The sequence below is a fragment of the Homo sapiens genome, chromosome 19, assembly GCF_000001405.40.
Source record: "Homo sapiens chromosome 19, GRCh38.p14 Primary Assembly".
NCBI classification, from domain to species: domain Eukaryota; kingdom Metazoa; phylum Chordata; class Mammalia; order Primates; family Hominidae; genus Homo; species Homo sapiens.
The window spans coordinates 49,739,170-49,763,579 of NC_000019.10; the positions used below are offsets into that span (position 1 = coordinate 49,739,170).

The 24,410-nt window shown below is 51.3% G+C and overlaps 1 protein-coding gene and 1 long non-coding RNA gene across 2 annotated transcripts, besides 5 other annotated features; one reads left to right on the top strand and one right to left on the bottom strand.

Annotated features, from left to right (window-relative positions):
* Window positions 1–590: 590 nt before the first annotated feature.
* TSKS (testis specific serine kinase substrate) lies at window positions 591–24,137 on the bottom strand. Its single transcript, NM_021733.2, has 11 exons — window positions 23,909–24,137; window positions 22,835–23,063; window positions 9,205–9,300; window positions 8,916–8,999; window positions 8,220–8,303; window positions 7,301–7,629; window positions 6,033–6,227; window positions 5,062–5,235; window positions 2,716–2,851; window positions 890–1,014; window positions 591–763 (listed from the first exon to the last, which is right to left on the bottom strand). Exons 1-11 carry the CDS (start codon window positions 24,076–24,078, stop codon window positions 607–609), a joined length of 1,779 nt encoding a protein of 592 aa, NP_068379.1. The 5' UTR covers window positions 24,079–24,137; the 3' UTR covers window positions 591–606.
* Window positions 2,103–2,397: an enhancer, noted in NCBI's record as "tiled region #2111; HepG2 Activating DNase matched - State 3:PromF". NCBI's record gives its function as "activates a minimal TATA promoter and a strong SV40 promoter by Sharpr-MPRA in HepG2 cells {active_cell/tissue: HepG2}" and the evidence as "EXISTENCE:reporter gene assay evidence [ECO:0000049][PMID:27701403]".
* Window positions 6,999–7,518: an enhancer, noted in NCBI's record as "H3K27ac-H3K4me1 hESC enhancer chr19:50249425-50249944 (GRCh37/hg19 assembly coordinates)". NCBI's record gives its function as "activates a minimal SCP1, AML or CMV promoter by ChIP-STARR-seq in naive H9 embryonic stem cells {active_cell/tissue: H9 hESC(naive)}" and the evidence as "EXISTENCE:reporter gene assay evidence [ECO:0000049][PMID:30033119]".
* Window positions 7,519–8,038: an enhancer, noted in NCBI's record as "H3K27ac-H3K4me1 hESC enhancer chr19:50249945-50250464 (GRCh37/hg19 assembly coordinates)". NCBI's record gives its function as "activates a minimal SCP1, AML or CMV promoter by ChIP-STARR-seq in naive H9 embryonic stem cells {active_cell/tissue: H9 hESC(naive)}" and the evidence as "EXISTENCE:reporter gene assay evidence [ECO:0000049][PMID:30033119]".
* LOC105372434 (uncharacterized) lies at window positions 8,973–18,710 on the top strand. Its single transcript, XR_936019.3, has 3 exons — window positions 8,973–9,321; window positions 10,893–10,998; window positions 17,986–18,710. It is a non-coding gene; the product is annotated as an uncharacterized LOC105372434 (long non-coding RNA).
* Window positions 21,312–21,529: a silencer, noted in NCBI's record as "fragment chr19:50263738-50263955 (GRCh37/hg19 assembly coordinates)". NCBI's record gives its function as "represses an EF-1alpha promoter that drives an FKBP-Casp9 reporter gene in an ReSE screen in K562 erythroleukemia cells {active_cell/tissue: K562}" and the evidence as "EXISTENCE:reporter gene assay evidence [ECO:0000049][PMID:32094911]".
* Window positions 22,298–22,890: an enhancer, noted in NCBI's record as "H3K27ac-H3K4me1 hESC enhancer chr19:50264724-50265316 (GRCh37/hg19 assembly coordinates)". NCBI's record gives its function as "activates a minimal SCP1, AML or CMV promoter by ChIP-STARR-seq in naive H9 embryonic stem cells {active_cell/tissue: H9 hESC(naive)}" and the evidence as "EXISTENCE:reporter gene assay evidence [ECO:0000049][PMID:30033119]".
* Window positions 24,138–24,410: the final 273 nt, after the last annotated feature.

Sequence of the window (24,410 nt, forward strand, 5' to 3'; positions counted from 1 at the left end):
CACAACAATAGACAACTAATATAGTTATCTAGTAATAATCAGCCTAAAAAATGTTGACTTGACAGACCTATACTATACCACAGAACCTTGTTTCTACCACCATTGCCATCTCAAAGAACTGTACCACCACCAGCACCTCTGTGGGGACCACGACATCCTGTTTGCTGAAAATTAAATAAATCACAGTGGGCTGGGTGTGGTGGTTCACACCTGTAATCCTAGCACTTTGGGAGGCCAAGGCAGACAGATTGCCTGAGCTCAGGAGTTTGAGACCAGCCTGGGCAACATGGGGAAACCTTGTTTCTACTGAAAATACAAAAACTTAGCCAGGCATGATGGTGTGCGAATGTAATCCCAGCTACTCGGGAGGCTGAGACAGGAGAATTGCTTGAACCCAGGATGTGGAGGTTGCAGTGAGCCGAGATCACACGCACTTCAGCCTGGACGACAGAGTGAGAATCTGTCTCAAAAAGAATAATAAAGTTAATTAATTAATTAAAATAAATAAATCACATTGGGCATAGAGGGAGTGCATGGTGTGTGTGCAATTCACTAGGACTCTGGTCCCAAAAAGCAGACAGAATTCATGCTAGCATGAGAGGCCATTTATTGTTCAGGGGCTGAGCCCCCCTGTTTTGGGGGGGTTCCTGCACTGCTGCCTCCCCCCATTGTTCCCGTGGACCCCTCAAGTGGCAGGTTGCTGAGATGATCGTGGAGGGAGCACATCTTCAAGTGTAGATGGTCCAGAGTGGCCATCTTCTCCCTGTCATGAGGCAGCGGGGAGTTGATGGCGGCATGGCTAGGTGCTGGGGTGTTGGAGTGGAAGGGGAGATCAGGCCCTTTCCCCAAGATCTCACCCTCCTCCCATGCCCTCAGCCTCCTTCCTCACTCTGGCTTCATCTTGTCTGTCAGCAGTAGGTTCTTGGCCCGCAGGGCCTCGTCTTGGGCCAGCCGAAGGGTGGAGCTCAGGGCCTCTGCCCTGACGTGTTTGGCTAAGGCCTGGCGCTCCAGCTCCTGGGGAGAGGAGCGTAGGCGTAGCTGGGCTTGCTGGACTGGGCTGGGGGTGGAGGGGGAACTGGATTGCGGAGGGCAAAGGGTAGGGTCCCATGGGGCCCACATTTCTCCCTCAGAGTTTCCCATCATGCCTTGAGCTTGAGACTGACCCCAGCATCCCACAATGCACTGGTCTCCAGATTCCGCTGTGGACTAAATCTGTGTCTGTCCTATTGTCTGTCCCATGATGCACTGACCTATGTCCCAGCAAGCACTAAATCAGTGCCTATCGTCTGTCTCCTAAGCTCATGAACTATCCTACATTTGATATGTGTGTGCACCCCAGTATTCTACCACATGGTGACCTCCTACATTCCATAATTTGGAAGACCCCACATCTCCTTATCCATTAGACCAGCACCTCTCACACAAAAGTCCTGGCCGGGCGCAGTGGCTCACGCCTGTAATCCCAGCACTTTGGGAGGTCGACACGGGTGGATCACTTAAGGTCAAGAGTTCGAGACCAGCCTGGCCAACAGGGTGAAACCCCATCTCTACTAAAACTACAAATATTAGCTGGGCGTGGTGGTGTATGCCTGTAATCCTGGCTGCTCAGGAGGCTGAGACACGAGAATCGTTTGAACCTGGGAGGTGGAGGTTGCAACGAGCCAAGATGGCGCCACTGCACTCCAGCCTGGAGCAACAGAGCGAGACTCTGTCTCCAAAAAAAAAAAGGCCGGGCGCAGTGGCTCACGCCTGTAATCCCAGTACTTTGGGAGGCTGAGGCAGGCGGATCACGAGATCAGGAGATCGAGATCATCCTGACTAACACGGTGAAACCCTGTCTCCACTGAAAACACAAAAAATTAGCCAGGTATGGTGGCAGGCGCCTGTAGTCCCAGCTACTTGGGAGGCTGAGGCAGGAGAATAGCGTGAACCCAGGAGGCAGAGCTTGCAGTGAGCCGAGATTGCGCCACTGCACTCCAGCCTGGGCGACAGAGCGAGACTCCATCTCAAAACAAACAAACAAACAAACAAAAAACAGTCCTTAGTGCCCTGGTTCTCTACGTACAACTGCACCAAGCCCCATTTCCTCTCATGTATTAGTCCTATAGCTCGGCCACATCAATGTCCCACAGTGCCTCACTTGTCTGTCTCACCCACTACAACATAATCCTATAGTACATTAGGTCAATATCCCATAATACAGTGCACTAGGGCTCAAGTTCCACCAACTATTGGGCTGAGTGTGTTGTGCAATGCCCCAGGAAGAGCTGTGGTTCCATTTCCCATAACGCATCAGCTAACTGGGGCCTACAGTCACTGGGTCTCCTATTTTACCTCAATATAGCTGACCCCAATGATCTTGTACAATGCACCGCCTCTCTAAAAGTTTAGAGAAAATCAGGCCTATGTTCCATGAAGCTTTAGACTGGTGTCTGTCTCGTGTCCCACAATGCACTAGATCCAACGTCCTATCATGCTTTAGGCCCAAGTCCATCTTCCGAGGTAGCGTAATGATTGGCCTGTGACTCACTCACCACCAAACTGCTTGTCCATCTCCCCATGCATTAGGGCCAAGTCCTCCCCCAGTGCCTGCTGCTCCCAGCTCAGCCCTTCCCCTTCTGCCACACACCAGCAGTACCCTTGAGTCCGGGGTTCCCCTCCCCTTGCCCCAACAGAAAAGTAAAGTGGGACATGGTGGCCCATATTCCCTGGTACCAGAATCTTCTTGTGTAGCCTCTGACAGCTGGGACAGGCAGGAGTCAGGCCCCTCTGCTTCACCTCGTCCACTAGTGAGGTCAGTGCTCGGTCCAGCAGCTGCTGCAGGGACTCCGTAGACAACTGCGACCCCTGGCTGGGGGAGGGGCGGTCACCAGATAAAGAGGCCCAGTACCAACTCCAGGACGCCCCATGCCCCATGCTCACCTGTGGAGCCTCCATTTGGCCTCGTTTCCAGTATGCACCCTATGCAACCTTCCCAGCATGCACTGTGCACCAGCTGTCCCTTGGTTTCCATGGTGCTCTGGGGATCACTACTCCTTTTTTTTTTGAGACGGAGTCTGGCTCTGTTACCCAGGCTGGAGTGCAGTGGCGCAATCTTGGCTCACTGCAACCTTCACCTACCGGGTTCAAACAATTCTCCTGCGTCAGCCTCCCAAGTAGTTGGGACTACAGGCATGTGCCGCCACATCCGGCTAATTTTTGTATTTTTAGTAGAGACGGGGTTTCACCATGTTGGCCAGGATGGTCTTGATCTCCTGACCTCGTGATCTGCCCACCTCGGCCTCCCAAAGTGCTGGGATTACAGGCATGAGCCACCGGGCCCGGCCCTTTTTTTTTTTTTTTTTTTTGAGATGGAGTCTCGCTCTGTCACCCAGGCTGGAGTGCAGTGGCACCATCTTGGCTCACTGCAACCTCTGCCTCCTGAGTTCAGCGATTCTCCTGCCTCAGCCTCCTGAGTAGCAGGTATTACAGGCACCCGCCAGCACGCCTAGCTAATTTTTGTGTTTTTAGTAGATATGGGGTTTCACCATGTTGGCCAGGCCGGTCTTAAACTCCTGACCTCCGGTGATCCTCCCACTTGGCCTCCCAAAGTGCTGGGATTACAGGCGTAAGCCACCACGCCCAGCCAGAGTCACTATTCCTAAGGGCACCAGACAGCCCTCAGTTTGCAAAGGCCGTCAAGAACTAACATTTCCCATAATACACTAGTGAAACTCGATTTCATGTTGTACTGTGAGTCCCCCTTTCCTACAATGGACCTTCCCACAATGGGCCAAAAATGGTGTATCCCTCGGCTCTCACAATACACCAAGGTCTCACTTCCCCCTCAGTGCACTGAAACCCTGCCTCTCCTCATGTTCACATCCCAGCCTTCCCACAATGCACTGGAAATATGATGCTTAAAATGTACTAAGTGTTTTTTTTTTTTTGAGATGGAGTCTTGCTGTCGCCCAGGCTGGAGTGAAATGGCACGATCTTGGCTCACTGCACCCTCCACTTCCCAGGTTCAAGAGATTCTTTGGCCTCAGCCTCCCAAGTAGCTGGGATTACAGGTGCTCACCACCACACCCAGCTAATTTTTGTATTTTTAGTAGAGATGGGGTCTCACCATGTTGGCCAGGCTGGTCTCAAACTCCCGACCTCAGTGATCTGCCCGTCTTGGCCTCCCAAAGTGCTGGGATAACAGGTGTGAGCCACTGCGTCCACCCTTTTTATTTTATTTTTATTTTATTGAGACACAGTTTCACTCTACCTACTAGGCTGGAGTGCAGTAGCGTGATCTCGGCTCACTGCAACCTCCGCCTCCCGGGTCCAAGTGAATTTCTTTTTTTTTTTTTTTTTTTTTTGAGATGGAGTCTCACTCTGTCTCCCAGGCTGGAGTGCAGTGGCATGATCTCAGCTCACTGCAAGCTCCACCTCCCGGATTTACGCCATTCTCCTGCCTCAGCCTTCCTAGTAGCTGGGACTACAGGCACCCGCCACCACGCCCAGCTAATTTTTTTTTGTATTTTTAGTAGAGACGGTGTTTCACCATGTTAGCCAGGATGCTCTTGATCTCCTGACCTTGTGATCTGCCTGCCTTGGCCTCCCAAAGTGCTGGGATTACAGGCATGAGCCACCGCGCCCAGCCTGGTCCAAGTGAATTTCATGCCCCAACTTCCTGAGTAGCTGGGATTACAGGCACGCGCCACCACGCCCAGCTAATTTTTGTATTTTTAGTAGATACGGGGTTTCACCACGTTGGCCAGGCTAGTCTCGAACTCCTGACACCAAGTGATCCGCCCACCTTGGTCTCCCGAAGTGCTGGGATTACAGGCGAGAGCCACCGCGCCCGGCCTGTACCAAGTTTCTCTTGAGTTCCACAAGACACTGATTCTACCTTGTAGAGTGGGAACAAATGAGGCTTCTAGTGCAGCAGGACCGGCTGTTTCTACAATGCACTGGGATACCTTGTCTCCCAAAATGAACAGCGCCCCACCCTTCACTAATGTCCCATCTCCTTCCGCATCTCCTTTAATGTCCTATCCACAAGGCTCCCAGAGGCAAGCCCAGCCCCGTTACCTGGCACAGCGGGCACAGTTGCCTTGGTGGGACCGATCCAGGTTCATGGAGAGGTCAGGCCCTCTTCGAGAGTTCTGAAATTGCCGCCCGAACTCCTCCAGAATGGGTTTCAGTGGGCCCAGCCCCTCCAGTTCGCTCCTCAGTGAAGCCACAGACACTGCTGACCGCTCCACCCTGAGGCATGAGTAACCAGTGCTGCTGGGTCGTCTCTTCAGCGGTATAACCCTGGCAAGACTCCACCCATTATTAGCCCACCACTTGCGTCTCCATCTGGTCAGCAATTCTCCACCCTGCCCTCCCCTCTCTGCTCTGACTGGCCTCACTTTTTGTATTTTACTTTATGTTATGTTATTTATCTGTTGACTATTTTGAGCCAGGGTCTGGCTCTGTGGCCCAGGCTGGAGTGCAGCAGCACCATCATAGCTCTCTGAAGCTTTGAACTCCTGGGCTCAAGCGATCACTCCTGCCTCAGCCTCCCGAGTGGCTAGGACTACCAGGGTGCGACACCACACCACTCCCAGCTAATTTTTAAATTGTTTGTAGAGATGGGGTCTCCGCTATGTGGCCCAGGCTTGTCTTGCACTCCTGGCCTCAAGTAATCCGCCCACGTCGGCCTCCCAATGTGCTGGGATTATAGATGTGAGCCACCTCACTGGGCCACCTTTTGTAGATTACTGTTTGGAATGCCCCTCCTAGTTCTCTTAATTGATTTTCTCGGATCCCACTTGACCCCACCCTTTGCCCTTTTAAGGTATAGACCACACCCCTTCTCTAATTGATTCCACCCCTCAGGCCTTATTAGGGCTGATGCAACCCTTCCTGCTCTCTAATTGGTGTTTCCCGATGTCGGTATATGTTCCGGAATGCCTGGCCATAGCTGATTGGCCTACCCATTTCCCTCAAGACCCCGCCCTCAGGTTGGGATTGCCCTGCCCCTTCCGGTCTTCCCATGCACTGGCCCCAATCCTCACATGGTGCACAGCTCATCCGCCCGACCTCGCAGCTCCTGCAAGTCCCGCGCCGTCTGTGCCTGTTCGCGCTGTGCCCGCTCCCACTGGCCTAGGAAGCCGTCGACCCTGCCGCCCAGGCCCCCGAGCAGCCGCAGGGCTTCCTGCACCGCCCCCTCCTCCTGATGCCACCGGGCGGTCAGTGAGGACACCTCTCTCCTGGAGGGGCAGAGGAGGGGAATGGGTAGGGGCTAGGCTTCAACAGGTCCCCACCTACCCCCACGAGATAGGTGGGACAGGACTCACCTATCTCGCCCCACTGAGACCATGCCCGTGGCTCCAGACCCACCCAGGTCACCAAATTTTATTGCACCCTCCATTTGGTGAAATTTGGTCGTGTCCTCCAGAGCCCCGCCTTTATCCCCTTCCTTTATTGGCTATCTTGGCCCTTTCCTGGTCAGGTCCCCAACCTCTACCTGGGCTCCTCCAGACACTGGCCCCCCAAGGCACTGCCCACCCTACTCTGCCCCACGTGGTGCCTCCAGGACCACTCCTCTCCTAAGCCCCGCCCACCTCAGTTTCACCAGGCCTGGACCTGCCTCCCAGCAGCCCAGAACTAAAAAGTTCCTTATTCTGTCCCTCCCTTGCTCAGGTCACTGCCTTCGGGGCACTCCCTCCTCTGCTCTTGGAGACCCCAGCCTTGTCGCCTTCCGGTTAAGATCTAGGCCGGGCGCGGTGGCTCACGCCTGTAATCCTAGCACTTTGGGAGGCCGAGGCGGGCGGATCACGAGGCCAGGAGATCGAGGCCATCCTGGCTAACACGGTGAAACCCCGTCTCTACTAAAAATACAAAAAAATAGCCAGGCGTGGTGGCGGGCGCCTGTAGTCCCAGCTATTGGGGAGGCTGAAGCAGGAGAATGGCGTGAACCCGGGAGGCGGAGCTTGCAGTGAGCCAAGACGGCGCCACTGCACTCCAGCCTGGGCGACAAGCGAGACTCCGCCTCAAAAAAAACAAAACAAAACAAAAAACGATCTTTGAGGAACCTCCCCTGTGTCCCCGCCCACCGCAGCTCCTGGAGACTCCTCCCGTGTCTCTACCCACCTTCGTTCCTCGAGGCTCCTCCCATGTTCCCGCCCACCTCAGGTCCCCGAGGCTCCACCCATGTCACCGCCCACCTCAGCTACTTGAGAACCCCCGTCCCTTGGGTCCCGCCCACCGCATCTCCTCGAGGCTCCACCCCTGAGTCCCCGCCGATCTCGTTTTCGAGGCTCCGCCCCTAGGTCCCGCCCACCTCAGCTCTTCGATGCCGGTGAACAGCTTCTGCAATTCCTGCTCGCTCACGTAGGGGCCCTCGCCAGCCCGAGGCCCCATTCCCCAGCCTGCGGGGACCAGGCCGTGTGGCCGCGAGGGTTTGTCGGGACTCCCTGGCGGGCCGGGGCAGCCCTGGGACGTGGCGGCGGGGCCCAGGCTGTTCCAGGAGAGGCCAGCCTCCGGCTTCTGCTTCTCCTCCGGCTCCTGCTTCTCCTCCGGCTCCTGCTTCTCCTCCGGCTCCTGCAGCTCGGCCTCCTGCCGTCGCGGCGTCTCATCCTGCAGCTGCTGCTGGAGGTAGCGCAGCTTCTCCTGGGTGGTAAGGGAGGACGGGGTCACAGCGTCCAGCCGCTTTCCTCCCGCAACCACCTCCACCCCAAAATCCGCTCCAGTACTCCCCGAGATTGGAAGTAGAACGCCTGTGGGGACAGTATGTTGGAAGTCTCACTGGCTGTCATTAGGGAGGGGAGGCACCATTTGAGGCCCAGTTGGACTCCAATTCCCGCTAACCTCCCACAGCCTGCCTCCAGGTATCCACCCGGCCCTCCAAGCCCTCCAGGCGTCAAATACCAGTCCCGGCCACTTGGCAAGAACAACTGAAGCTTTCTCAGCATTTTGTTGGAAAATGAGTGGGCATGTGGACAGGACGGGCCTTCTCACCTGAAGTCCAGCTCGATTCTCTTTCTGGGACCTGAATGTGACTGCAGGGCAAGAGTCCCCCATCTGGGTGTTGGAGCCTCATTTGAATCCCTCTTATCAGCGAGTTCTAAGGATGACTATGTGCACGAAGGTGCAGTGTGGTGGTGGTGTCGGGGCAGGGAGTTCCACCTAAAAGTGTATCTTGAGTCCCTCGTGCATCTGACCTCCTCCCACAAATCCTGGGACTGCCCCCTAGCCCTTACCTCCAGCAGGGCAGAATTCTGCTTCAAGACGTTGGTTTTGATTTCAGCATCTTCCACAGACCGGGTCACCTTCCAGCAGTTCTCCTGGGTCAGACACCAGGGCGAGGGCCCTGCCTTCCCATTCCAGTTCTGCCTCCCAACCCTTAGCCTGTCTGTTTCCATCCAGGCTCCAGGCCTCCTAGCCCCCCAGTACAAGACACACTCACCAGCTCATTTCCTTGGCTAAGGGGATGGCTTCCTCCTTAGCCAGATGTGCCAGAGTGGCACCCCTCCACTTCCTCCCACCTCTCTTCGGTCCACCCATTCCATTTCTCCTCTTTCTTTTCTTTTTTTCTTTTGAGACTGAGTCTCGCTCTGTCGGCCAGGCTGGAGTGCAGTGGCGCAATCTTGGCTCACTGCAACTTCCACCTCGTGGATTCAAGCAATTCTTCTGCCTCAGCCTCCCAAGTAGCTGAGATTACAGGCGCCCGCCACCACACCTGGCTAATTTTTGTATTTTTAGTAGAGATGGGGTTTCACCATGTTGGCCAGGCTGGTCTCAAACTCCTGACCTCAGGTGATCTGCCTGCCTCGGCCTCCCAAAGTGCTGGGATTACAGATGTGAGCCACTGCACCCAGCCTCCTCCCCTCTTTCTCCCACCCTCTTCTTACTCCCATTCCCCTCTCCCCATCCATTCCTGCGTCCCACTGGCTCACCTTGAGTTGAATGCAGTACCCCTCCAACTCTTCTGCCTCTTGCCGCCTTCTCTCCAGATTCTCGCTCAGCACAGAACACTCGCTCTGGAGCATGGAAGGAGGAGAGGTTAGCCAAGGACACGAGGGGACAGCCTGTGGAAAAGAAGATCTGGGCCTGGGAAGGTTCCTTTTCTTTCTGAGCCTCAAGCTCCCCAACTGAGCTATGGGTGCATTCTGCTGGAGGCAGGCTCCAAGAAGGGAACTTGGCCCTGGAGGAAGGGCAGGTGTTGGATATAGGGGGTCCTCACACCTGCAGAGACTGCACGTGCTGGTTAACCCGGTTGGTCTTTTCCTTCAAGCTGGTGATGGAGTCTTTGGCGCGGACCAATCCACTGTTGACCCCACTCTGGGGAAGAATGGGAGACAGGTGAGTTAGTGGGTATGTGGGGGCAAGCCCCAAGCCCAGGAAGAATTCCAGAACTGGGAGGCTGTGTTTACACCTTGATTTTGCCCTGGAATGGCTATGTGACTTGGAGCCAAGGGCTATACCTCTGATTCTTAGCATTCCTGCGCGGCAAACCCAGGGCATAAACGACCTTTCTTCATGGTGGGCTGGGAGAAAAATAGGATCCAGGAGGGAAAGGGGGATGGAGGTGGGGTGCTCAGACATGTGGAGGAAGAAGGATGGACTCAACCAAACACTGAGCTAAATGTCCTTGGGGGCCAGGTGCCGTGGCTCACTCTGGTAATCCCAGCACTTTGGGAGGCCGAGGTGGGTGGATCACTTGAGGTCAGGAGTTCAAGACCAACTTGGCCAACATGGTGAAACCCCAACTCTACTAAAAATACAAAAATTAGCTAGGCGTGGTGGTGCCTTTAATCCCAGCTACTTGGGAGGCTGAGGCAGGAGAATTGCTTGAACCTGGGAAGCAGGGGCTGCAGTGAGCTGAGATTGCACCACCGTACTCCAATCTGGGCGACAGAGCGAGTCTCCGTCTAAAGAAAAAAAAAAGTCCTTGGGGTCCACAGCTTAAAAAGAGAAACTTTGAAAACACATGCCCTTTCTCTCCAGGAACTGGTGAATTACAAAGGAAGCCACTTTTCAGATATGAACACTTGCTATGCACCAAGCACTTGTCTTGTCTTTTATTCTTCACAACTCCGCCTCTTGAGGTTATTTGGCCTATTTTACAAGTGAGACAAATGGGTCTCAGAAATGGGATATCCCTTGTCTTCCCAAGCACTCAGCACATTAGGTGATCTCATCAGAATCTAGATTCAGAACGCTTGTTTTAAACCATGACACCATGTGGCCTCTGGTCATCATTACTTTATATCACATAAAGTGTTGTGCGACTCCTGCCAATCCGTGGTTCAGGAGGGATGCATGTGGTAGGATCCATTCTCCCAGCTTGGACAGTTACAGAAGCCTTAGCCTGGCACATGACTGCCCAACCAGAGACTACATTTCCCAGGTTTCCTTGCAGCTAGGTGTGGCCATGTGACTAAGTTCTGGCCAATGGAATGTGAGTGGAAATAATGTAGTCAATTTATTTTTGGGGGAGGTGTGTGTGTGTGGGGGGTCTCTCATTATTACCCTGGCTGGTGTGGAGCGGTACTATCATAGCTCACCAGCTCCTGGGCTGAAATGATCCTCTTGCCTCAGCCTCCCAAGTTGCTAAGAGTATAGGTGCTTGCTACCATGCCCAGCAAAATTTTAAGATGTTTGGTATAGATGGGTTCTCACTACGTTACCCAAGCTGGCCTCAAACTCCTGGGCTCAAGTGATCCTTTTGTGTCTGCCTGTAAGTGTTGGTCTTACAAGCATGAGCCACTGTGCCCAGCCTCCTTTTTTCTCTCTCTTTTATTTATTTTTTTTTTTAGCCTACATCATTACTTAGACTGTGCAGAATTATAGTCAATTTCTGAGTCATCCCTTATAGGAAAAGAGTGAGAACTTTCCCTTTTTCTCTCATTTCACTGGAATGCACAATTGAGGGCTGTCTTGGACCAGCAGATAGAGGACACAATGAAACAGAAGAAGCCTGAATCCTTGACATGGAGCCACCATACTCCATTCCAACCACCTGTGAAGACTTTCAGGGTGAGACATTACATCTTCTGTGTTATTCAAGCTGTGTTATTTTGTGTTTTTTTGTTACAGTAGTCAAATGTATAACTTCAATATCATTGACATTCTTTTTTTTTTTTTTTTTGACAGAGTCTTGCTCTTTTGTCAGGCTGGAGTGCAGTGGCATGATCTCGGCTCACTGCAACCTCTCACTCCCAGGTTCAAGCCATTCTCCTGCTTCAGCCTCCCGAATAGCTGGGACTACGGGCGTGCACCACCACACCAGGCTAATTTTTTGTATTTTAGTAGAGACAGGGTTTCACCATGTTGGCCAGGATGGTCTTGATCTCCTGACCTCGTGATTCACCCACCTCGGCCTCCCAAAGTGCTGGGATTACAGGCGTAAGCCACCGTGCCCGGCCTATCATTGACATTCTTATTTCACACCTGAAGGAAAAGAGACCCAGAGAGCCCTCTGCCAGCTGTTTATGACCAGTTCCAGCCGATGGAAGGGAAGTGGGCACTGGTCGATGTGTGGAAAAGACAGGCATGATCTCTTCCCCTGTTCCCCCTGCTTAATGGCTGGAAGGCAGTGGCGAGAGCAACTGTCTAGAAATGGCTGAGCAACCAGAACGTAGACACCTGTAACCTGCTGCATTTGAAGAGCAGAGCTACTAAGCTTATCAAGCATTTTATGTGCAAAAAAGCAGTTCTCTTGGTTTCTCTCATGGTTGCTGAACTAATACACAAAAGATAGACAGAATAAGTTTCCTCCCTTGTGAGATGGAGGCAGCAACACATTTCTTGCATGATTGCTCTGGGGAAGAAGTGGAATAAGAAATATTGTATCCAGTTAACAACAGCAAAATGGTGGATTAAATAATTCAGGCCGGGCACAGTGGCTCACACCTGTAATCCCAGCACTTTGGGAGGCCGAGGTGGGTGGATCACTTGAGGTCAGGAGTTCGAGACCAGCCTGACCAACGTGGTGGAGCCCCGTCTCTACTAAAAATACAAAAATTAGCCAGGCGTGGTGGCAGGCAGTTGTAATCCCAGCTACTTGGGAGGCTGACACAGGAGAATCGCTTGAATCCAGGAGGCGGAGGTTGCAGAGAGCCTAGATGGCGCCATTGCACTCCAGCCTGGGCGACAACGAGATTCCATCTCAAAAAAAAAAAAAAAAAAAAAAAGGAATTCAAAAATTCCACCCCTCCATAAAAACAATGAAAAAACTAACAAAAACCATAAGAAGCAGTTTGTTCACAATTCTGGAAATTAACCAAAGGCTTGCAGCAACTCAAAGAGCATTTATTCAAGAAAAGTGACTCTCGATAAAAAACGGCAAGACTTGAGGAATTTTAACTTATCCTAGTCCTATCTCCCACTCCCTAGCTCAGCAGGAACCCTGGAAAATAACAGCCCACATTTCCCACAGGGAGGAAGCAGAATGAAGCTAGAACTCATTCAAAGCCTCATAACCCAAAGAAGAGTCATTCTATGATTGTTAAGTGATGCCTGGGAAGACCCCACACAGAATATTTGTCTTTCCTTTTCAGAACTGGCAAAGCCGTGAAAGCATCTCTGATAGTTGAAGGAAAGATTTGGATGTTTGTCCTCTCCAAATCTCATGTTAAAATGTCATCCCTTGCCAGGCACAGTGGCTCACACCTGTAATCCCAGCACTTTGGGAGGCTGAGGCAGGAGGTTCACTTGAGCTCAGGAGTTTGAGAGCAGCCTGGACAACATGGTGAGACCCCAACTCTACAAAAAAAAAAAAAAAAAAAAAAAAAGTAGCCAGGTGTGGTGGTGTGCACCTGTAGTCCCAGCTCCTCAGGAGGCTGAGGTTGAAGAATCGCTTGAACCTGGGAGGTGGATGTTGCAGTGAGCCGAGATTGCGCCACTGCACTCCAGTCTGGATGACACTGAGATCCTGTCTCAAAAACAACAACAAAAAAATGTAACTCCCAGGCTGAGCGTGGTGGTTCACACCTGTAATCCCAGCACTCTGGGAGGCCAAGGTGGGCAGATCACCTGAGGTCAGGAATTCAAGACTAGCCTGGCCAACATGGCGAAAGCCCGACTCTACTGAAAATACAAAAATTCGCCAGGAATAGTGATGCATGCCTGTAGTCCCAGCTACTTGGGAGGCTGAGGCAGGAGAATCGCTTGAACCCGGGAGGTGGAGGTCGCAGTGAACCGAGATCATGCCACTGCTCTCCAGCCTGGGCAACAGAGCAAAACTCCATCTCAAAAAAAAAAAAAAAAAAAACTTGTGTGGCATCTCCTTGCTCCTGCTCTTGCCAGGTGATATGCTGGCTCCATCACCTTTTGCTATGAGGCCCTCACCAAAAGCTGAGCAGATGTTGGCACCATGTTTATCAGATAGCCTGTGAACCATAAGCCAGTTAAACCTCTTTTATTTATACCCAGCCTTGAGTATTCCTTTATAGCAATGCAAGAATGGACTAACATGGAGTGGGAGAGGGAACATTTGTAAAGAAAAAAAAATTTTACGCTTGTTTTAATGTTGCTACTGCCGAAGGCAATGGATAACAGTTGGGGTAAACAATAAAAAGCAAAAAATCTTAAAAGGAAAATCTGATGGACATATCTGTAGAAGCCTTGAAATGTTCCAACAAATTCCTGGGAATGTAGAAAGCCATTGGCCTGTGTAGGGTTGTGTACATGCTTGGGAAAGTTCTGAGAAGGCCCCAAGCTTTTCACCTCTGGCTGACCTTGAAACCTTGAAACGCTGCACAAGCAGGAAGGGAAGGCTAAGGTAGAGTTGTAAATTGTCTGAGTGTTAAAGGTGTGCCTCATCAGGCACACAGAGTGCCATTTGGCAAAGACTAGAAGATTTTGTTGTTGTTCCAGTTTAAGGAAATGTCTCTCCAATCATTAGCTAACCACTAAAATTAGAGAACAGAGACTTCAGTGGCCAAACATGACAAAGAACACAGATATTACAGAAATAGTTCAGAAAAGTCTGTTTTTTAAAAAGCAACTACAGGCCAGGTGCAGTAGCTCACACCTGTAATTCCAACAATTTGGGAGGATGAGGTGGGAGGACTGCTTGAGCCCAGAAGTTCAAGACCAGCCTGAGCAACATAGTAAAACCTAATCCCTTAAAAAATAGTAATAAAATAGGCCGGGCGTGTTGGCTCATGCCTGTAATCCCAGCACTTTGGGAGGCCGAGGCGGGTGGATCACGAGGTCAGGAGATCGAGACCATCCTGGCTAACATGGTGAACCCCGTCTCTACTAAAAAATACAAAAAATTAGCTGGACGTGGTGGCGGGCGCCTGTAGTCCCAGCTACTCGGGAAGCTGAGGCAGGAGAATGGTGTGAACCCGGGAGGCGGAGCTTGCAGTGAGCCGAGATCGCGCCATTGCACTCCAGCCTGGGCAACAAAGCAAGACTCCATCTCAATAATAATAATAATAATAATAATAATAATAATAAAATAAAATTAGCTGAGCTTGGTAGTGCACACCTGTAGTCCCAGCTACTCAGAAGGCTGAGGCAGGAGGATCCCTTAAGCCTGGGAGTTAGAGGCTGCAGTGGGCCACAATCATGCCACTGTACAGTGGCCTGGGCAACAGAGCAAGATCATGTCTCAAATAATAATAAAAATAAATAAATAAAAATAATAAAATAAAAAGCAACTATAACAAGCAATAATAACAACAAATCCTTATGAGTGGGGAGAATCTGTTTCTAGGGTTGCTACATTATGATACTTTATTTTTTATTGTATTTTTTTTTTTTGAGACAGAGTCTCCCTCTGTCCCCCAGGCTGGAGTGCAGTGGCATGATCTCGGCTCACTGCAACCTCTGCCTCCTGGGTTCAAGCGATTCCCCTGCCTCAGCCTCCCCAGTAGCTGGGACTACAGGCACCCGCCACCACGCCTGGCTAATTTTTGTATTTTTAGTAGAGATGGGGGTTTCACCATATTGGTCAGGCTGGTCTCGAACTCCTGACCTCAGGTGATCTGCCTGACTTGGCCTCCCAAAGTGCTGAGATTACAGGCGTGAGCCACCGTTCCCTGCTACATTATGATACTTTAAATGGCCAGTTTTCAGGCCAGGCACGGTGGCTCACACCTGTAATCTCAGCACTTTGGGAGGCCAAGGCAGGTGGATCACCTGAGGTCAGGAGTTTGAGACCAGCCCAGCCAACATGGTTAAACCCCGTCTCTGCTAAAAATCCAAAAATTAGACAGGCATGGTGGTGCACACCTGTAATCCCAGCTACTGGGGAGGCTGAGTCAGGAAAATCGCTTGAACCTGGGAGTCAGAGGTTGCAGTGAGCCAAGATCATGCCGCTGCACTCAAGCCCGGGTGATAGAGTGAGACTCCATCTCAAAAAAAATAAAAAATAAAAAATGGCCAGTTTTCAACAAAAAAGTTATAAGGCATGCAAAGAAAAAAAACTATGGCCTATACAATGGAGGACAAACAAGCAGTCAAGAGAAACTGTTCAGGGGTAGGATGGCGGGGGCAGATTTGGACTTACTAGGCAAACACTTTAAATCAGCTACTTTAAATATGTTCGAAGTGCTAAAGGAAACCATTCCTAAATAACTAAAGGAAATTGAGAGAATAATGTCTCACCAAATAGGGCATATCACTAAAGAGACAAACATTATTAAAAGAAACCAAATAGAAATTATAGGGTTGAAGGGCCAGGCGCAATGGCTCACACCTGTAATCCCAGCACTTTGGGAGGCCAAGGCAGGCGGATCACGAGGTCAAGAGATCAAGAACATCCTGGCCAACAAGGTGAAACCCCGTCTCTACTAAAAATACAAAAATTAGCCGGGGATGGGGTGTGCACCTGTAGAGCCAGCTACTCGGGAGGCTGAGGCAGCAGAATCGCTTGAACCCAGGAGGCAGAGGTTGCAATGAGCTGAGATCACACTACTGCACTCCAGCCTGGCAACAGAGAGAGACTCCGTCTCAAAAAAGAAATTCTAGGGTTGAAAAGTACAATAACCAAAGTGAAAAATGTACTAGAGGGGGCTCTGTAGCAGAATAATGATTCAGTGAACTTGAACATAGCTCAACTTTGATTATCCAGCCTGAGAAACATGAAAACAAAAAGAATGAAGAAGAATGAATACAGCCTCAGAGACCTATGGATCTGGGAGTCCCAGAAGGAAAGAAAGGGGCAGAAAGAATATTTGAAGAAATAATGGTTGAAAACTTCCAAAACTTGATGATTTGAACATAAATCCACACATCCAAGAAGCCAAATGAACTCCAAATAGGCTCCAGGGGCCGGGCCAAGTGACTCACTGCTGTCATCCCAGGACTTTGGGAGGCTGAGGAGGGTGTATTACTTGAGACCAAGAGCTCAAGACCAGCCTGGCCAACATAGCAAAACCCTGTCTCATAAAAAACAACAATAAGAAGGCTGGACATGGTGGCTCACACCTGTATTTCCAGCACTTTGGGAGGCCAAGATGGGAGGATCGCTTGAGCCCAGGAGTTTGAGACCAGCCTGGGCAACAAAGTAACACCTGCGTCTCTAAAAATAAAAATGAAAATAAAAACACTTTTAAAATAGGATAAAATGGGCCAGGTGGCTGGGCTTGGTGGCTGATGCCTGTAATCCCAGCACTTTGGGAGGCCAAAGTGGGTGGATTATGAGGTTAGGAGTTTGAAACCAGCCTGGCCAAGATGGTGAAACCCTGTCTCTACTAAAAATGCAAAAATTAGCCTGGCGCGGTGGTAGGCACCTGTAGTCCCAGCTACTTGGGAGGCTGAGGCAGGAGAATCGCTTGAACCTGGGAGGCGGAGGTTGCAGTGAGCCGAGATCGTGCCATTGCATTCTAGTGTGGGCGACAGAGCGAGACTCCATCTCAAAAAAAAAGAAAAGAAAGAAAGAAAACCACAGACCAATATCCTTTATGAATATGGTCACAAAAATCATCAACGAAATACTAGCAAACCAAATCCAACAGCATGTAAAAAGGATTATACATGGTGACCAACTGGGAATTATCCCAGGAATGCAAGGTTGGTTCAACATACTAAAATCAACCAATGACTGGGCATGGTGGCTCATCCCAGCAATTTGAGAAGCTGAGACAGGAGGATCACCTGAGGCCAGAAATTCTAGACCAGCCAGGTCAACATAGTGAGACTCCATCTCTACCAAAAAATTTAAAAATTATCTGGGTACAGTGGCATGTGCTTGTGGTCTCAGCTCCTTGGGATGCTGAGGTGGGAGGACTGTTTGAGCCCAGGAGGTTGAGGCTGCAGTGAGCTATGATGGCACCATTGCACTCCAACCTGGGCAATGGAGCAAGACTCTGTCTCTAAAAACAAATAAATGTTACATACCATATTAATAGAATAAAAGGGAAAAAAAACACATGATCATGTCAGTTGAGAAAAAGCTTTTGACAAAATACCACTCATGATTAAAAAAAAAAAAACACTCCACAAACTAGAAATAGAAAGGAAGAAAGGAACTTCCTCATCCCAATAAAGGGCAGCTACAAAAATCCCACAAAATGTGATAGTTTAAAATATGTCCATAAATTCTTTCACATTCCTTTAAAACGTGGAGCCTTATTTGCCTCACTTGAGTATGAGCTGGACTTGGTGACTCACACCCAGGAAATAGAATAAGGCAGGCTAGTTGTGGTGGCTCATGCTTGTAATCCCAGCACTTTGGGAGGCCGAGGCAGGTGGATCACCTGAGGTCAGGAGTTCAGGACCAGCCTGGCCAACATGGTGAAACCCTGTTTCTACAAAAAATACAAAAATTAGCTGGGCATGGTGGTGCACACCTGTAATGCCAGCTACTCAGGAGGCTAAGGCAAGACAATTGCTTGAACCTGAGAGGCACAGGCTGCAGTAAGCCGAGATTGCGCCACTGCACTCCAGCCTAGGTGACAGAGACTCTGTCTCAAAAAATAAAAAAATAGAATAAAGTAGAATTGATGATATGTGAGGTAAGAGACTACTTCATAAGAGGAACTGTTTCTTATTTGCTCTCTCTTCATCTAGGGAACGATAGCCTCAATGTCATAAGCAGCCACCTATGAAGAGGCCCATGTAGCAAGGAATTGAGGCCTCCAGCCAAGGGCAGGTGAGTGCCCCATTTTGGTAGCACAACCTCTGGCCCCAGTCCAACCTTCAGGTGACTGCAGCCCCAGCCAAAATCTTGTTTGCAACCTCGTGAGACGCCCTGAGCCAGGCCCACCCAGCTGAGCCCCTCCAAGTTTGTTGTTTGAAGTTTTGGTGTAATTGGTTTCACAGCAATAGAAAGCATTACACAAAGTGTCTTTCTAACCTGAAGACTCAGAAGGTCTTGGGTTTCCTGTGGGTAATTGTTCTGGAAACCAAGGCAACAGGACCTAGGGCCAACTAATTTCTCCCAGTTACTAGCCGTATGACCTCATGGAGAGGACTTCACCTCTCTGTGCCTCTGCTTCCCTACCTGTGAAATGGAGATATAACTAACAACTACCTTCACAGGGTTCCCATTGTCCTTCCTCCTACCTGGAAACTGACACTCTCTCAACCAGGGTCTCCATCACCGCCTGGTTCTCTGTCCCCCTCTTTCCAGTTCTCTGTCCCCACCCAGCCCCTGTGTCTGTTCCTTCTCTCTCTGGGTCTCTATCCCCCTCCTCTATTTCTGGTCTTCTGTCTCACCCTGATTCAGCTCTGTCCCCCAAATCTCAGAGTCTCTGACTTATTTTTCCTGAGTCTCTGCCTTTCTACTCTTTAGGTCTCTGTCTTCTTTTTTTTTTTTTTTTTTTGAGATAGAGTCTCACTCTGTCACCAGGCTGGAGTGCAGTGGCACGATCTCGGCTCTCTGCAACCTCCACCTCCCGAGTTCAAGCGATTCTCCTGCCTCAGCCTCCCGAGTAGCTGGGATTACAGGCATGTGCCCCCCTCTGTCTCTGGGTCTCTGTCCTCCTCTCTCTCTGGGTCTCTGTCCTCCTCTCTCTTGGTCTCTGTCCCCCACTCTCTGGGTCTCTGTCCCCCTCTCCCTGGTCTCCCTTCCCCTCTCTCTGGGTCTCTGTTCCCCTCTCTCTCTCTGGGTCTCTGTCTCCCTCTCTCTCTGGGTCTCTGTGTCCTTCTCTCTGCCTGTCCCCGCCTTCTCTCTGGATGCAGCTCAGGTGCTGGGTGCTGGTTCCAGCTCCTGCTGCCCCCCTCACCTCTCCAGCAGGCACCCCAAGGTCATTACTTTTTCCATTTCACAGAGAAGGAACTTGAAGCCCGTTAGAGGCCGACACTCCCCTGCAGCCCCACAGCGAGCTGGCAGCTGTGTCAGACCTTGATCCTGGCTGCCTGGGGTACTTTCTCAGGCTTCACGATCCAGTGGGGGATGTGACTCAGAAATAGCTCTGGTGGGAGGCAAACGGCTGCAAGTGCTGCCTGAGGGACACTCCCCAAGACAGGGCGGAGAGCTCTTCTGTCTGAGGGAGGAGATGTCTCCCAGACATCCTTCCCAGCCCAGACTCTTTGCCCTGTTCTCTGCAGCTCCTCCTCCTTCCCTGGACCCTCGCCCAGGCTCCCCTCTGGCCTCCCTGCCTCAGTCTCTCCCCTCCAAACATCCCCCACTCAGCCCAAGGGAGTCTTGGGGAGAGAAAGCCCTTTTGCATTAGTGACAAAAGCAGCAGCCTTCTTGTCTTGGTCCTGCTTCTTACAACCCCTCCAACCTTGACCTTGTGGAGGTTACTACACCACTGTCTACCTTAGTTGTTTCTTTTTTTTTTTTGAGACGGAGTTTTGCTCTTGTTGCCCAGGCTGGAGTGCAATGGCACGATTTCGGTTCACTGCAACCTCTGCCTCCCAGGTTCAAGCGATTCTTCTGCCTCAGCCTCCCACATAGCTGGGATTACAGGCATGTGCCACCACGTCCGGCTAATTGTATATTTTTAGTAGAGATGGGGTTTCTCCATGTTGATCAGCCTGGTCTGGAATTACCGACCTCAGGTGATCTGCCTGCCTCAGCCTCCCAAAGTGCTGGGATTACAGGCATGAGCCACGAAGCCCGGCCTCAAATATTTTTTTAAAAAATTAGCTGGGTGAAGCCGGGAGCGGTGGCTCATGCCTGTAATCCCAGCAGTTTGGGAGGCTGAGGCAGGCAGATGACAAGGTCAAGAGATCAAGACCATCCTGGCCAACATGGTGAAACCCCGTCTCTACTAAAAATACAAAAATTAGCCGGGCGTGGTGGCACACACCTGTAGTCCCAGCTACTCGGGAGGCTGAGGCAGAAGAATGGCTTGAACCTGGGAGGTGGAGGTTGCAGTGAGCTGAGATCACACCACTGCACTGCAGCCTGGCAACAGAGCGAGACTCCATTTCCAAAAAAAAAAAAAAAAAATTACCTGGGTGTGTGGCATGTGCCTGTAGTTACAGCTACTCGGGAGGCTGAGGTGGGAGGATCACCTGGGCCTGGGGAGGCCAAGGCTACAGTGAGCCAAGATTGTGCCTGGACTGTCATGCTGTCACTCCAGCCTGGGCAACAGAACAAGACCCAGTCTCAAAAAAAAAAAAAAACCGAAAGAAAGAAAAAAATTTGTTTAGCTGGGCACGGTGGTGTACACCTGCAGTCCCAGCTACTTGGGAGGTCAAGGTGGAAAGATCGCTTAAGCCCAAGGGTTTGAGGTTGCAGTGAGCTATTATCATGCCAGTGCACTCCAGCCTGGGCAATAGAGTGAGACCCTGTCTCAAAAAAATAAAATAAAATAAAAAGAAAGAAAAAGAGAGGCCAGGTGCGGTGGTTCATGCCCGTAATCCTAGCACTTTGGGAGGCTGAGGTGGGCGGTCATCTGAGGTCAGGAGTTCGAGACCAGCCTGGCCAACATGGTGAAACCCCATCTCTACTAAAAATACAAAAATTAGTCAGGTGTGGTGGCGCTCTTGTAATCCCAGCTACTTGGAAGGCTGAGGTGGGAGAATCACTTGAACCCAAGAGGTGGAGTTTGCAGTGAGCCAAGATCGCACCACTGTACTCCAGCCTGGCTACAGAGTGAGACTCCATCTCAAAAAATAAAGAAAGGAAAAGAGATATTTGTTAAAAAGAATAAATGTGGCTGGGCATGGTGTTGCACTCCTGTAATCCCAGCACTTTGGGAGGCTGAGGCCCAAAAATTGCTTGAGTTTAAGACCAGATTGCACAACATTGTGAGACCCTGTCTCTACAAAAATTATTATTATTGTTATTATTTTTTTTTTGACAGACTCTCGCTGTGTCGCCCAGGCTGGAGTGCAGTGGCGTGATCTCGGCTCACTGCAACCTCCGCCTCCCGGGTTCAAGCAATTCTCCTGCCTCAGCCTCCACAGTAGCTGGGACTACAGGCGCCCACCACCACAGGCACACACCATCAGGCCCAGCTAATTTTTGTATTTTTAGTAGAGACGGGGTTTCACCATATTGGCCAGACTGGTCTCGAACTCCTGACCTCATGATCCACCCGCCTCGGCCTCCCAAAGTGCTGAGATTATAGGTCACTGCGCCTGGCCTACAAAAAATTTTTTTTTAATCAGCCAGGTGTGTGCCTGTGGTCCCAGCTACTCAGAAGGCTGAGATGGGAGGATCCTTTGAACCCAGGAGTTCGAGGCTGCAGTGAGTTGTGATTGTGCCACTGCACTCCAGCCTGGGAGACAGAGCAAGACCCTGCCTTAAAAATAAATAAACAAAAGCTGGGCGTGGTGGCTCACGCCTGTAATCTCAGCACTTTGGGAGGCCGAGGTGGGCAGATCACCTGAGGTCCGGAGTTCGAGACCAGCCTGACCAACATGGAGAAACCCTGTTTCTACTAAAAATACAAAATTAGCTGGGTGTGGTGGCACATGCCTGTAGTCCCAGCTACTCGGGAGGCTGAGGCAGGAGAATGGCTTGAACCCGGCCGGGAAGCAGAGGTTGCTGTGAGCCAAGATCACGCCATTGCACTCCAGCCTGGGCAACAAGAGCGAAACTCTGTCTCAATAAATAAATAAATAAATAAAATTTAAAAATAAAGGAACGAATGTATGCATCTCCGTTTTACAGATGAGGAAACCAGGGCTCCCTGAACATAGAAAGTGCTAGTGAATCTTATCAGCATCATTAAGATCATGGCTATTGTTAATGTGGTTCTCAGTATCTGGTAGAGCCTGTTTTAGGCCTGGCCCAGGGGAAGCCAGGTGGGGGGTGAGGATCAGAGGTGCAGTGAGTTAAAGGACCCATTTGTAACCCTCTATACTTTTGCCAGAAATTCCCTAAGTCCCCCTAAATCTTGCTCATCTCTCAGTTTTGCCCCAGATTCTTAGCTGACTCCCCTCAGAGAACTCCTACTCACTCACTAAGGTCCAGTTGCAAGACATCCTCCTCCAGGAAGCTTTCCCTGGTACCCCCCAGCCTGGCTTGAGGGGCCTTTCTCTGGGATCTCCTCCGTTAGGGAATTTCTCACCCTAGTCTGTGTCTTTTGCCCCCACCAGACTGGGAGCTCCCCAAGCACAGGGATCTGGCCTGTTTCCTGAGCCCAGCCTCACTGGGGACATTTGGGAGTGACTGTGTGAACTGAAGACCACCCAGGCCAGGCACGGGGGCTCTCGCCTGTAATCCCAGCACTGTGGGAGGCCGAGGTGGGAGGATCACTTGAGCCCAGGAGTTTGAGACCATCTTGGGCAACACAGTGAGACTGTCTCTAAAGGAAGAAAAAAAAAAGACCAACTCCCAGATTCATGGCTGGCTGTCAGAGAAGGAGGAGGCAGTTCCCAGTTAGTTCCTCTGGGTCTCGAATGACCAGAACATTCTAACTCCAAGTCAAAAACACCCCACCCCCGTCCTAAGTATTTGCTACCACCTTGTGGAGGACCTCGGTCCTCCCCAGCGGGTGGTGTGGAGGGCCCTCACCAGGATTTCCGTGATGTCTGCGTCATCCGGATCCCAGGGTAGGGTAGGGGAGGCAGGGGGCCCAGCCAGTGTGAGTTGGCCGCTGAGGTCTTCCACTGTGGAGTCTGTCCCCGTGGAGTCAGTGGGCTCCATGGCGGCCAGGTTGAGCAGTGACACGTTGGTGCAGGCCGAGGACCGTTTGAGGTTCAGGCACCAGTGCATGGGCTGATGGGACATCTGGGGCTCCACCCTGCAGAGAAGAAACAGGCAGAAAAGTGGAGAAGCAGCCCCAGGGTGTCTGGGCCCTCCTGCCTTCCTTTCTCCATACCTCACCCCCTGTGACTCCACCCTCACTGTATATAAGTTTCTCCCTTCTCTGTCCCCGCTGCCTACTTTATTCTCCTTCCCTGTGCTGCCTACTTTCTTTCTTTTTTCTTTCTTTCTTTTTTTTTTTTTTTTGAGACAGAGTCTCACTCTGTTGCCCAGGCTGGAGTGCAGTGGCGCGATCTCAGCTCACTGCAACCTCCGACTGCGGGTCCCAGTTCAAGCAATTCTCCTGCCTCAGCCTCCTGAGTAGCTGGGGTTATAGGCATGTGCCATCACGCCCAGCTAATTTTAGTATTTTTAGTAGAGATGGCTTTTCACCATGTTGGCCAAGCTGGTTTTGAACTCCTGACCTCATGATCCACCTGCCTCGGCCTCCCAAAGTGCTGGGATTACAGGCGTGAGCCACCGTGCCCGACCACCACTGTCTACTTTCTTCTTCTCCTTCCCCGCTGCCTACTTTCTCCTCCCTTCTCTGCCACCTACTTTCTTCTTCATTCACTAGCCTCCCTTCTCCTTCTTCCCTCCCCACTGGCTTTTTCCTCTCTCCATCCATCCCCATTACCTTCTTCCTCCCTCCATCCATCCCCATTACCTTCTTCCTCTCTACCTCCCTGTGACTTGATGTCTCTTCACTGCTGCCCTCTTTCCTGCCCCCGACCTGCTGGCTTTTCCCCCTCCCCTTCCTCTAGCACCCACAGTCGGACTCCTGCTCTGTTGGAGGTAGTGCTGGGCATTAGAACCATCCCTGACAGTGTGCAACAAACCCACCCGTGGAACGACACGGCCTTCTTTTTCTTCGGGATCCCCTTGGCCCGGCTGGTCACCCTCCGGGGAGCCTCTGGGACTAGCTGGGAGCAGCTCTCCACCCCCGTGGGGGTGTCCCCGGCCTCATGGATCTCTTTGGACTGCCAGATCGTCTTCACCACCACGCTCGCCATGGTGTGGGGGTCTGGCTCCCAGGGAGGGGCTCCTTCCTCTGAGACTTCCTACCTACTGTGACCACAGACCCTCAGGATCCACTGTCCCCTCAGCCTGCCTCACAAAGGACCCAACCACTGGGCCCCAGTGAGTGGGGGGCACAGGGTAGGGAGAGATGCTGGCCCAGGTCATTCCCCTAGGGTTCTCAGTGGACTCCTCCTGTTCAGGATTCTAGTTACATGCCCAATGTGCCCCCCGTCTTCAGAGCTCCAGTGGATGGATTCATGCTAGCCTGTAACTTAACAATGGGTCGGCCCACGGATTCTTGGGAGAGGTCCAACTTCCCTCTCCC